The 14247-nt window shown below is 36.7% G+C and overlaps 1 long non-coding RNA gene across 2 annotated transcripts in view; it reads left to right on the forward strand.

Annotated features, from left to right (window-relative positions):
- Nucleotides 1-1176: 1176 nt before the first annotated feature.
- LINC03109 (long intergenic non-protein coding RNA 3109) overlaps nt 1177-14247 on the forward strand; it is a 66028-nt gene continuing 52957 nt past the window's right edge. For both annotated transcript variants that reach the window (XR_002959654.2, XR_001740975.2), the window contains exons 1-2: nt 1177-1533; nt 3415-3460. This is a non-coding gene — a long non-coding RNA (long intergenic non-protein coding RNA 3109). The remainder of the gene's footprint in view (nt 1534-3414; nt 3461-14247) is intronic.

Consider the following 14247-nt stretch of genomic DNA (forward strand, 5'->3'; position numbering starts at 1 on the left):
CACACACACACACACACACACACACACACACCAAGGAAAGGGAGACAGAGAGGAGAGAGAGAGCAGAGAGAGACACACACAGAGAGAGAGGAGAGAGAGAGAGCAAAGAGAGAGGAGAGAGAGGGGAGTATGAATAATGACTTTAATACATTTTTTAAATTATATATTTTCTAAGAAATCTCAACTCATATGTGTTTGTTTCCATACCTAATGTGAATCCTTCAATTCTCTAAAAAAAAAAAAATAAACAAAAATAAAAAAGAAGTTTTAGTGGAGAAAAACATAAGGATTAGCACAAGCAACAGAAGGAGAAAACTAGAAAAGGTATTTACAATTAAGAAAATATATTGAATCACACACTCTGAGATTGTGGCTTCATTTAAGTTAAAAACTCTAGGTGGGGTTGCAAATATTCCTACAGGTCCTCTTTCATTTCTTATTTTTCTCTGCAAGGAAGAGAAACTCCAGACTCCAAAATTATCAGAGATCTGGGATGGAGAAAATAAAAGCAGAGTTCTGTGACCAATTCTGCCTCTGACTGACTGTGATTTTAATGGTGTTTTAGCTTCTCCATCTCCACTGTGAGGCTGTAATTGCCTAGAGATCTGGGTGGGTCCTCCACGGAAAGGTTTTAAGACAGCTACAATTAGCTGTAAGTTATCTTGACTTTTAAGAGAAAGATTTCAGACTCTGTGGCTTAAGGGTTGTCTTTTTCCACCTTGCTTTGCCTCCATGTTTCCTCATATGGCAGGAGGAATAACAAATACAGAAAGGACAGCTCTAGTTCCTTAATCTTTTCTGCTTGTGACCAGAATACTCTGTGCTGTTAACATTTCACTTCTCAATTTATAAAAGGTCATAATATTGTGTTGGTTCTGTGTGGTCTTATTTTAGTATTTTGTCTTATTTTATTGGGAAAAAATGCAAAGAATTAGCATAGCAGATTATGGGGAATTTTATCTTTATTAATTGTTGAACTTGCCCTCTTCTCCTAGTTTCTTTATCATTGTGGACTGACGTTTTTGCAAAGTTCATTTTCAGTTTCTATTTTATTTTTCCAGTGTTGGGGAAAGGTCTCAAGTAAGACAGAGAAGGCAGAAATTCACCAGCAAATCCAAACTGGGGAAATCCCAGAGTTGAAGACAAGAAACTTAAGAAAACCTTACAAAAAGAAACATGCTTGGGGCTACTCTTGTTTGCTGGTAGAATGATCTGTAGAAAATTCTGAGATAAGGTGTTAAAAGTAAGAAAATGCAGGCATAATTATGATCAGACTGTCAACTTTCCCCTTGTCTAATGGGAGCCAAAGAATGATGTTTTAATGCTCAGCTTCTAGATGAAATATGTATTAGCAAACTATTCTAGGCCTTTATATTCCTTTATTTTTGTTTTCAAAAATTCCCATGACAATATTCTGGCATCCATGCCACATGAGGATACATTTCGTGCCAAAACAAGCTTAGGAAATCTGCAGTTTAAAGGAGGAAGGTATGCTGCAGCTGAGAGCAGACGCTTCTAAGGCATCTTGGGAAGGTAAGTTCAGAACGGCATATTCTTTGAATACTGTCTGAGTATTGACAAGAAGATTCAAATAGACGCTGCAAACAATGGAGCGTTGTGAATTGTGTACATCTTGAGAAGTAATTTGAGTGGCATATATTTAAGACAATCCATCCATATTTGAGCAAACCCAAGCAATTTATATTTCCTGGATGTCAGCTTGAATAGGAGGTTAGAAGAATGGCGATGCTTCAGTCTCATTTTAGATAAAAATAATGGATAATCATGTATTTACACATTAATTTATGTCACAGAAGTATGTCAAGTATGAAAATAGGACCTTTATACACTACTGTTGAGAGGATAAATTGTTACTAACTTCCATGAAGGACAATTTGTAGATGTATATACAAAAGCTTAGAAATACTCATGATCTTTGAATCATCAATTTTTCAATAAAATAAAAAGATAAATGTTCAGGATTATGTAACTTATTCATTATGTTATCACTGTGTTTGTAATAGTGAAAATCTGGAAAGAGCCTATAATACAGGCAGAAATAGAGGAATTTTTAATATGGTTTATTCACACAATAGAATATTTTGCAGCATCTATAATGATAAAAATTTATAATTATTGACATTGAAATATGTTTTTAATTATAAAATAAGACTACAAAATAAAGCATGATCTCATTCTGTAACAAGATATTGTTCATTTGCTGGTATGTATGAATAAAACATCTTTCAAATCATTGAATTACATCTTAAGCTTTGTCATTGACTTAAACTTATGTTTCCTATTTTTTCCATCACAAAAATTTTTGACTACAATGTCATATAAGACTCTATTATTTAAAAAAGACTTTTATGCATATCTAACTTTACAATTAGGAGTTTGATTTTCACTACCACCTTCTCAAGAGAATTCAAAGTTCTCAAAGAGACAATTCAAAGTTCATAATTTACTATTATATATTTCTCTTAGGAAACACATTTTTTCCATGTTAAATTGGATAAAATGGTTAACCCATGGGGTTCACGGACTTCTGCTTCCCCTTTTGCCTGATCAGTTTTTTTTTTCTCTCTTCCATCCCGAGAAAAAGGACAAAATTTCATGAATGGATGCAAAAAGTAGAGAGGGATTCAGAACAAATAATTTTTCTCTCTAATTCCAAGCACTGGGAAGTCAGGAAGTGTCCTGAGTGTATTACGAGAAACTGTGCACTTTGGAGCAGCAGTTGATAAGGAGGACCAAGGTATAAGAACAGGTGAGATGAGTGAGAAAATTCTTCCTAGATGAGAAGGAGACACCTGAGAGTTTGTGGTGCCATACATTAAGAACATTTGCTGTAGTCTAAGTATTTGCAGCTCCTTAAAAGTAAAAAAGGGCATGACTGAAGATTATATGTATTCCTTTTTGGGTCTGGAGTCTATATGTGAGACACTGCTCCTGGATTGGATTTAGGGGTGATAGCTTTATAAACATTACTTGTGTATCTAGAGAATTCTGTCCACATGCTCTCATCAGGCCAATTCTTGCTTTTGTGCCTTTTATCACTTCTTGAAACCCTATTCTGTGTCAAAAGAGGAACAACAGTATGTCTATTCTAAATCAGTCCCTCCCAAAAAACAGACGTAGGGCTTTATAATCAAATGTGAAATATGTTTTTTCTTCCCAAGGTCATACCAAAGATTTGTTTGTGGTTCTTTAATTGCAGTTTTTAGTGACCATGAAATGCTTCACTAAAATACACATTAAGAAGTAAAATAGTGGAGTTTACAAAGGAACTCTCTGGAAGAATATGTGGGTGTTCTCCACACATGAAATTTAGGAAAACAGGATGGCTTCAAAGAGATGAAAGGAATGACCTATTGTCTTTCTTGCTAACGCAGATTCTTCATTACCCTATAGGTTGCATCTGCAGTCTCAAGAAATATTAAAACCTATTTTAATGTAGGTAAGTCATCATATAGCCTTTGTAAATATGAAGCCCAAATATCACAATGCTTTGTTCCAGCTGAATCCTAATATGTATGAAAATTAAACTCTGCTTACAGCACATGAAGATTTCATAAAATATTTATGACCAGATCAGCCTTCACTGAGAATAACAAAACATGTGAAGTGTGCAAATTAGCTATCATATGTTTAAAAAATATGTGTATGCCTTTAAATTTATTGGCGTATTTAGACTATGAAGAACTGTAGGTTTTCAACAAATTGGATAGGGTTCAATACTTTTAGTCTGTCCAATAGGTCACTGTGTTTAAGGTATGATGCAAATATTTAACAAATTATGAAATATAATTATTGACTGTGACATGGTTTCAAACTATATTTATTTATTTTTTCAGAAGAGACATGTTTCATTTTATTAACCCAACATATCCCAAACATATTTGACCATTGTATTTTTTTAACATGAAGGTAATACTCATACTAATAACAATAACAATACTAGTAATTCAATACCATTATTGAATGCTTACTATGTGCTTACTATTCATTATTGAATACTACTATGTATCAATGTATTCATATATTAATCCTGTGATGTAAATACCATTTTTATTCCTATTTCACGGATTAGAAAACTGAAGCATAAGGCAATTAAGAAATTTACTCAAGATCACATAAGTGGTGGGGGTATGATTTGAACTCAACTTCTCTGAACCTAGATTCCTCACTCTGAACTGCTATTTTAAAGTCTCCCACATTTAATGCCTACATCTGTAGAAATTCTGTGGAATTAATGTTTCCAGGAAATCACTTGGGGAAACAACTGGATTAGAATGGTTTGTATGGATGACAGATAAATTGCTTTCACTTTTAATATGCACAAGGTCCTGAGGCTGTTACAGTACATTTTCTAGAATGATTTGCAGTAATGTTGAATATAAAAATTTCATTTTTAAGGTACTGGACTTCTCCACAGTATGACCCTTTATAAATATTTATTCTCTTGAGTTTTTCTGAATTAAATCTCTTACTATGATAATTTAAAAAACTATTTTATTTTTTATAATTTCAACTTTTATTTTAGATTCGATGGCACATGTGCATTTTTGTTACACAGGTATATCACATGATTCTAAGGTTTGGGTACAAATGATCCCATCTCCCTGGTAGTGGGCATAGTACCCAATAGCTAATTGTTCAGTGCTTACTGCCCTTCCCCACTCTCCCGTCCAGTAGTCCCCAGTGTCTACTGTTGTCATCTTTATGTCAATGAGTACCTGAGGTTTAGCCCCTGCTTATAAGTGAAAATATGCAGTATTTGGTTTTCTTCTCTTTTTTTAATTTTTATTTTAGGTTTAGGGGTACATGAGCAGGTTTATTATATAGGTAAACTACATGTCATGGGGATTTGGTGTGCAGATTGTTTCATCTCCCAGGTAATAAACATGGTATACAATAGGTAGTTTTTTTGATCTTCTCCCTCCTCCCACCCACCACCCTCAAGTAGGCCCCCAGTTGTTCCCCTCTTTGTGTCCATGTGTTGCATTGTTTAGGTGCATTTATAAGCAAGAACATATGGTATTTGTTTGTTTGTTTGTTTTGTTCCTTCTTAGTTTGCTTAGGTTAATAGCCTCTAGTTCCATCTATGTTGCTGCAAAGGACATGATCTTGTTCTTTTTTATGAATGTGTAGTATTCCATGGTATATATGTACCACATTTTCTTTATCCAGTCTACTATTGATGGGAAGTTATGTTGATTCCATGTCTTTGCTATTGTGAATAGTGCTGGGATGAAAATACATGTACATGTGTCTTTGTGGTAGAATGATTTATATTCCTTCAAGTATATACCCAATAATGGACTTGCTGGGTTGAATGCTAATTCTGTTTTAAGTCCTTTGAGGAATCACTACACTGTTTTCCACAAAGGCTGAACTAGTTTACATTCCTATCAGCAGCGTATACGTGTTCCCTTTTCTCTGCAACCTTGCCAGAATCTGTTATTTTTTGACTTTTTAAATAGCCATTCTGACTGGTGTGAGATGGTATCTCATTCTGGTTTTAATGTGCATTTCTCTAATGATTAGTGATGTGGAGCATCTTTTCATAGGCTCATGGGTCATGTGTATGTCTTCTTTTGAAACGTGTGTTCATGTGCTTTGCACACTTTTGTGGGTATTAGACCTTTGTTGGATGCATAATTTGCAAATATTTTCTCTCATTCTGTAGTTTGTCTGTTTGCTCTGTTGATAGTTTCTTTTGCTGTGCAGAAGCTCTTCAGTTTAATTAGTTCCCATTCGTCCATTTTTGTTTTTGTTGCAATTGCTTTTGGCATCTTTGCTATGAAATCTTTGTCAGGGCCTATGTCCAGAATGGTATTTCCAAGGTTATCTTCCAGGATTTTTATGGTTTTAGGTTTTACATTTAAGTGTTTAATTCATCTTGAGTTGATTTTTGTGTATGGTGTAAGGAAGGGGTCCAGTTTCACTCTTCTGCATATAGCTAGCCAGTTATCCCAACACCATTTATTGAATAGGGAGTCCTGTCCTCATTGCTTGTTCTTGTTAACTTTGTTGAATATTAGATAGTTGCAGGTGTATGGCATTATTTCTGGGCTCTCTCTTCTGTTCCACTGGTTTATGTGTCTGTTTCTGTACCAGTACCATGCTGTTTTGGTTACTGTAGCCCTGTAGGATAGTTTGAAGTCAGGTAACATGATGATTCCTTCTTTGTTCTTTTTGCTTAGGATTGCCTTGGCTATTTAGGCTCTTTTTTGGTTCCTTATGAAATTTGAAATATATTTTTCTAATTCTATGATGAATGCCATTCATAGTTTGATAGAAATAGCATTGAACCTGCAAGTTGCTTTGGGCAGTATGGCCATTTTAACAATATTGATTATTCCTGCCCATGAGTATGGAATGTTTTTCCATTTGTTTGTGTCATCTCTGATTTCTTTGAGCAGTGTTTTATAATTCTCATTTCAGGGATCTTTCACCTCCCTGGTTAGCTTTATTTCTAGGTATTTTATTCTTTTTGTGGCTATTGTGAATGGGATTGCGTTATTGATTTGGCTCTCAGCCTGGATGTTGTTGGTGTCTGACAATACTTCTGATTTTTTTTTTTTTGAGATAGGGTATCACTCTTGTCGCCCAGGCTGGAGTGCAATGGCGCGATCTTGCTCACTGCAACCTCCGCGTCCCAGGTTCAAGCAATTCTCCTGCCTCAGCCTCCCGAGTAGCTTGGATTACAGGCAATTGCCATCACACCTGGCTAATTTTTGTATTTTTAGTAGAGAAGGGGTTTCGCCGTGTTGGCCAGGCTGGTTTGAACTCCTTACTTCAGGTGATCCACCCGCCTCGGCTTCCCAAAGTGCTGGGATTACAGGCGTAAGCCACCACGCCCGGCCAACTTTTGATTTTTGTACATTGATTTTGTATCTTGAAACTTTGCTGAAGTTGTTTATCAGATCAAGAAACTTTTTGCCAGACACTATGTATGGGATTTTTCTAGGAGTAAAATCATATTGTCTGCAAACAGGGATAGTTTGACTTCCTCTCTTGGTATCTGTTTTTTTGTTCCTGTGTTAATTCCCTTAGGATAATGACCTCCAGCTGCATTTGCTGCAAAGGACATGATTTTTTTAACGGCTGTATAGTGCTCCATGATGTATGTATACCCCATTTTCGTTATCCAGTCCACCATTGATGGGTGGCTAGGTTGATTTCATGTCTTTGCCATTGTGGTGATGAACACATTCAAACTGTATTTAGTTTGACGTAGAACTGCAGTGTATTTTACAGCTAAACAAACTCAAATTCCTGACTAATTACAAACCAGGTACTTTGTGCTCTCTTACAAATACAATGGTGTTATAATACCTCCATTTTAGGGTTACTGTTGGGATTAAATGATTTAACAAAGGCAGTGTGTCTACTACGGTGTATGACACAGATACTGAGTTAATGCTAGTACCATTTTATATTTTGCCTTATTTTTACTGTCAAGTTTAATTATTGCAATAAAAATATGATCACCTAAAATATATGCAAGGGAAAAAACTCATCTGGATGGCACTTGAAAGTTAAAGCCTCAAGTATAACAATAAATCGAAGCTTGAGATTGTTATTCAGGAAAGTAGCAATTTCATGGATCTCTGGATACGACAGATTCTAGAAGAGAGAGTCCATATGAAGTGTGTACTCTCCCTCCAGGGCCCCATGCACTGTGAGGACAGATATGTATATATACGAGGTAAAGCACTTTTTTGGTGCTATCCTCACAAATTTTTTTTTTTTTTGAGATGGAGTCTTGCTCTGTGCGAGGCTGGAGCGCAGTGACGCAATCTCAGCTCACTGCAACCTCCAACTCCCTGGTTCAAGCGATTCTCCTGCCTCAGCCTCCCGAGTAGCTGGGATTACAGGCACCCACCACCACATCCAGCTAACTTTTGTATTTTTAGTAGAGACGGGTTTCACCATGTTGGCCAGGATGGTCTCAATCTCCTGACCTCATGATCTGCCCTCCTTGGCCTCCCAAAATGCTAGGATTACAGTTGTGAGCCACCACGCCTGGCCCCTCACAATTTTTCTATATACCTAAACCTATTCTAAATAAAATGTTTATTTAAAAAATACACTCTAAGAAAACAACCCAAAATGAAAATACACATACATACAAATACATATACTGTTTTTCTTTTTATTCTTTTTGTGTTTTCTTGCATATATATACTTTTGAAAGTGGAAAACCTTCATAGTAAAAATTTTGGGTTGGTCGCAGTGGCTCACACCTGTAATCCTAGCATTTTAGGAGGCCAAGGAGGGCAGATCACCTGAGGTCAGGAGTTTGAGACGAGCCTGGCCACCATGGCGAAACCCCATCTCTACTAAAAATACAAAAATTAGCTGGGCGTGGTGGTAGGCACCTGTAATCCCAGCTACTCGGGAGGCTGAGGGATGAGAATCCCTCAAACCTGGAAGGCAGAGGTTGCAGTGAGTCAAGATCACACCACTGCACTCCAGCCTGGGGGATAGAGCAAGATTCTGTCTCAAAAAAAAATAAAATAAAAAAACAAAAATTGAAATAAATAACATCTAAAAAACTGGTTATATAAACTGCGTGGTCCACAAATAATAGTAGATACTATATTGTTATTAAAGAGTCACAAAATTTAGAATATGTTAATATGTGGGAAATCATACGTGGGATATGAAAAAGCAAAACACATAGCATGTTTACTCTGGTTATAAAAATTTCAAAAGCTAGGAATATTCACATTAAAAATACTTTGAAAAGGATATGTTACAATGAGGTAGTTGGCATTTCAAGTTTGTCTATGTTTTCTGTGGATATTTTAGATAAAATATTCATAAGAGATATTCCTTTATTCAGATACAAAAAATGCTCTCCTCACTCAGACTAGTTATTCTGAACATGTTTTGTTTTTCTCAAGCTAATTGTTGGACTCGAGAGATAGTACCCTTTCTATTCCATAATTTAGTGATACAAATAGTGCTTACTAGCTTGATGCCTGGTGTAAAGAACTCAAGAAAAGTTTATTAAATGAAAATTTAATATAATCTACTTGCTAACCTTAAAACTTTTTAAAGCTTTATGTTCAATACTATAAAAATTTAAACATTTTTGTAATATATATATATTTTGGAGACACAGTTGCACTCTGTCACCTAGGCTGGAGTGCAGTGGCATGATTTCAGCTCACCACAACCTCCGCCACCAGGGTTCAAGTGATTCCCTTGGGATTTCTATTGATTCTTATACTTTATAGATTATTTAGAATTGTCTATGTATGATTATGTTATCTGTAAATAATGACTTCTTTATTTCCTCCTTTTTTTTTTTTTTTTTTTTTTGAGACAGAGTCTCGCCCTGTCACCCAGGCTGGAGTGCTGGAGTGCAGTGGCACGATCTTGGCTCACTGCAACCTCCGCCTTGCCCAACCTGCAAGCTTGCAAGCATGTTTTCTTTTTCTTGTCACTTTGCATTTGACTAAGACCTCAGCAGAATGTTTAGTAGCAGCAAAGACAGTGGGTATTCTTTATTTATTCATAATCTGTCATGGGTTGGATACCCTGGGAAGCAGATTGTGAGACTGCAATTAGCATGCAAGAAGTTTGCTAGCAATGCTTTTGGGATCCACCCATGTGGATTGAATGGAAGGGGAGCAGTCTTTATGCCTCTGTATCTATCAGTAAGTGGTAGTGTGACCTGGGGATGAGGGTGGCTCAGGATGAGGTGACTGTCTTCAGTCAACCCAATTCCTAAAAGGGATAGACAACTAAAGGGCTCTGCCAAAAGTACCCCTAGAGGCTGGTAAATAGTTCTTCAGTTCTGAAGAGTCAGCATCTTCTACACAAGTTTTCATGGGGAAAGATGTTAAATTTCACAATGTTATTTGTGTCTCAGTGTTCTCTAAACAACAAATATAACAATAGTTTTAATAAAAACAATGAATGATAATAAGACAACAAACAAAAATACAGTAACTAACATTCCTGTAATGGGATATTAAATGGTACTTTTCTTATCTCAGGATTTCAGCTGAAGTCCCCAGTTGAGCCTGGTGGATGATAGAACCCTGTCACATTTTGCAGAGAGACATTTCTAAGCAGGACATACTAAAAGATATGTGGCTTTGTGTACATTACTTCAAATAGCTTAGATAAAAGAAAAATTTGAAAAGAAAAAGTTGTCTATATCACAGTCTTCCCTCCCTTAAGGCAAAATGAGTTGTTTTCTAGAGATTTTTGTGGTTGATAATGTCGTTTTTTTTTTTAATTTTTTTGCAAGAGACTGGAATTTTATTCCTCAGCTGGATATTTATTGAACTGCAGAAATGCATAGTCTTGCCTTATACTTCCCTTACTGATCTTGAGGGCATTTGGGAATGTCTATAACACAGACACCGATGCCTGTATCTGGGGGATCTGAAATTCAAGGCAAGGTAGAGTTGTCTATGACAGCAGGAAGAGCAAAGAAGCTAGTTTTGATATCAACAGCACGGATACAAATTTCTCCAGGCCAAGTGAATCTCGTGAAAAATAGCCACTTGTGCCATCTTGACAGGACCCTGTCAAAGAAGATTGTTTATGGAGTGTGATGACCTTGGCTGAGTCTGTGGGATCATCACTGGAATGAGAGTGGAGGATGCAGAGATGAGAGGGTTCATGAAAGGTCCATTACCTTGTCAGAGAATGGTGCCATGTAGCGGTCATAGAGGGAGTCTCCAGAAAACCCTCCAACACTCTCTAAGAAAGTGTGAAAGAACCTGCATTCTGCACCTGCCGTCACTGAGGACGCATATAGATTATATAACAGCACCAGAAAAGAAAGACAATGGTGTTTTCCTTTAACTTCTTCTCTGACAATTACCTCCCACCCCCATGACCCTGGACGTGTGAGTACCAGGTCAAATAGGGGAACAAGGAGAAAAGATCAGCAAACCCCCTCACAGGCCACAGATCTGGCCTGAGCAGATGGGAGTGGGGCATAAGTGGGCGGTGGTGGTGGTGCGGGGCAGATACGGAATTAGATGGGATATTAACGTTTTGATTTAGACTGGAGTTTTAGAGGTGTGGCTAGTCTTAAAAACTGTAACTTTTTAAACATCCATAATATTTGCCCATGACGTTGCCAGGAAGTAGAGAAGGGTGATCCAACATCCTTCTTAAGGGCAGTAGTAAGAGAAAAACAAAGCCATGAAAACCACTAAACTCAGAGAATAACAGTAATAGTGACAACCAGTAAAAGTAATCACTAACTTTCAGTCAGAGTTTTACTATTTATGAAGCACTCCCACAGAGTCTAACTTATAATTATCTATATAGTTGGTCCTCCTTAATACAATAATCAGTATGGTTTTTCTTTCCACTTCAGAACCTTGGAGCAAACTGTAGCTCTTCCCGGAATGCTGTTCCTCTTGTTTTAGCCTAATTTTTGCTGCTATTTTGGAGCCTAGATCAATGTCTTTGCCTCACAGAAGCTATCTCTGACCCTCCAGATAGATCTACCCATTTTATGCTTTCATAGCACCCACTATTCCCACCTCAGAATACTTTTCCCCAAGTTTACTTAAATAATTACTTGTGCAATTAATTGTTTAATACCTATGTCTCCAGCTAGAATCTAAGCCTCATGAGGGCATGGCCCTAGTGGATCTTGCTCAGAATTGATTTTCTGGCACCTACCACAAAGCCTTACACATAGTATAAAAGTTCAGTAGGGATATCAATTGAATAAATGAAGAAATGGTGAAAGAACTAATATGACTCAAGATTCCTAATCCCTGACTAGGAAGAGTTTCTCTGGATTCCATGGTCTGTAAAGCTATAGGCCAGAATGACTTCCTGATAGTGGACATTTGTAGCTGGATTTAGTATTTCACTGTGGTTTGTTAGGAGATACTGAACTGGGTGGGGAAGGCCATCACTTACCAGGACATGGGTGTGGGAAGAAGGGAGTGCGCAGGTAGCTCATGGGGTGGGGCCCAGGTGAACTTCTTTTATTTTAGACAGCCACTATTCATTAGAAAGAATGCAAGTCCCTTTCACCTTTATCTCTGTAGAGATAATGGGAGATGCACAATTTTTTTAAGGCACGTTCTTTGGTCCCTTTGAATGAAAGTGCTGTATAAGTCCATGATGTTATTTTTGACTAATCAAAGGGAAAAATGTCAGGCTAACATCAAGGACATGCTTTTGATAATTTTTTAAAAAGGTTATGCATGCTACCTTTTATTCAGCAGTCAATTAAATGCCTTCACTTTTAAACATAAAACTGAGCAGCTGATTTTTTTTTCTTTTCAATGGTATTTTTTATGCATAAAAAATTGAGCATATTTTTTCAATGAATTATTGGAAAAGATCAACCACCCATCCATAAAATCTTCTAAAACCACTATATCCCCTCTTTGACATTTTAAGACATTTTAGCTAATGTGGTAATATATTTGAATTCTACTCAGAGTATTTCCAAAAATACATAAATAGAGGTTTACCCTGAGGCTTCCTAATAAAACTAAAACAAGTTTCATTTCATTGAAATGTTGTTTCTTCTTTGACTTTTGAATAGGATGATTGTTGAAGGTCCTTTCCAGGAACAGAACATCATCCACTCACTTTCTTACTAAGAAAGCTGGCTTTTTAATCTTCATTTGTTGATGGCTATCTTTGGCCTGAACAACTAGAAAGTATCACATCAAACAAGAAGGAAAGAAGTTAAATAAACTTCAGGGAACTCTTCCAAGAAAGGTCATCTATTTAAAAAATATTAAGTGTGTTTGTTCAATAACCATGTATGTAAACTAAATGCAGCAGCTTAATGAAATAATTCAATTAAATACTTTAGCTTTATTGATAATGACAGAGCTCTATAGTGGCTGGTAATGTCACAGTGGATAATTATAATAGTATGATATGATTTTTCTCTATGTAATCATAAACAAGCTTAAGAACCAAAGCTTATAAGAAATTTATAAATAAAGAGAACATTTCCCCTCCATTATTGTGGCTTAATTATAACGATAGGCCATATCTTTCTTGGGAAGATAAACAAAGCACATGTAGTAATAAATGTTTCATCTCAACCATGAATTTTCATGATGAACAGAATAGAGATCAAAGTCATATTAATCTAAATATTAAAAGTTCTGTGACTTTATTTTGTGCCTCCCAAGTTGGTGAAGCTTGACAGATTGGCTAAGGCTATTATTTAATTTAGAAAAAAATTGATCTTGTAATTACATGTAGTTTCTCACTCAGGAATACGGTATTGTTCTTTATTTATTCCAGTCATTCTTTTATATCTCTAGTGGAGTTTTCAGGTTAAGCCCCAGCCAAGTACAGCCTTGGAATACTGACAGGTATGATAGTGTCTGGGAAATTGACAGGGTGGTCCCCTGAGGCTTAATTGCATGAGAGAATGAGGCATCTACTGGAAGAGAATTTGATTCTCAGGGAAGAAGATGTTAGGCAACAAGTCAAATCTTAACAAATCTGTGGTCATAGGTAGGGAATAAATAGGACTGAGAGGCCTGAAGAGAGCACAGTATTTATCTCCTATTGCAGCCACATTCCCCTTGCTCTATTCTTTATTTATATCTAAATTTCCTAGAGGAGAAATTTTGTAATTAAAAAAGATAAAATACCATGTTCCTATAAACTGCTTAAGATATCAGGTCACAAAGGTATTTCTTTGGTATTCTTCATACAGAATATAATCCAAAATGACAGAGGGGTCCTCTCTAGTCTTCTCCACAGAACGCAAGGCAGCACTGTACACGGAAGGCTCAGAGGGCAAGCAAGACTTGAACCAATGGTCACAAGAAAGTAGCTGCTAACACAATGGAGGTGGCAGCTGTGCCTGGTGGAGCAGAGGGGCAGGGGGGACTTTCTTAGAGGAAGTGGTATACCCACTAAAGGAAGCTGTAGTGCCTATGAGGATGGTAGAGTTCAAGAGAAATACAATAACAGAAAAATCACTGGTGGAAATGGAAGCAGCAATGTAAAGGGCTCATCTAACAAAGCAGTTCCTGGAGGAACAGAGCTCAGCTGTAAGTACTGAGGAGAGCAAAATCACACTGAGACATGGTGGCATGGTGGGGTATGGAGGGAGGATTTCGCAGGAGAAATTCTGAAAGAGGAGGTGAGACTAGTGATTGTAAATGTGAGTTATTGATACTGGTGAAATACAATTTTAAGTTTTGGGTTGAAATCCTCAGGGGAAACAGACCACAGAACTTTGAGCAACTTTCTTAATAAAAG

This window comes from Homo sapiens, chromosome 3 (assembly GCF_000001405.40).
Source record: "Homo sapiens chromosome 3, GRCh38.p14 Primary Assembly".
Classification (NCBI taxonomy): Eukaryota; Metazoa; Chordata; class Mammalia; order Primates; family Hominidae; genus Homo; species Homo sapiens.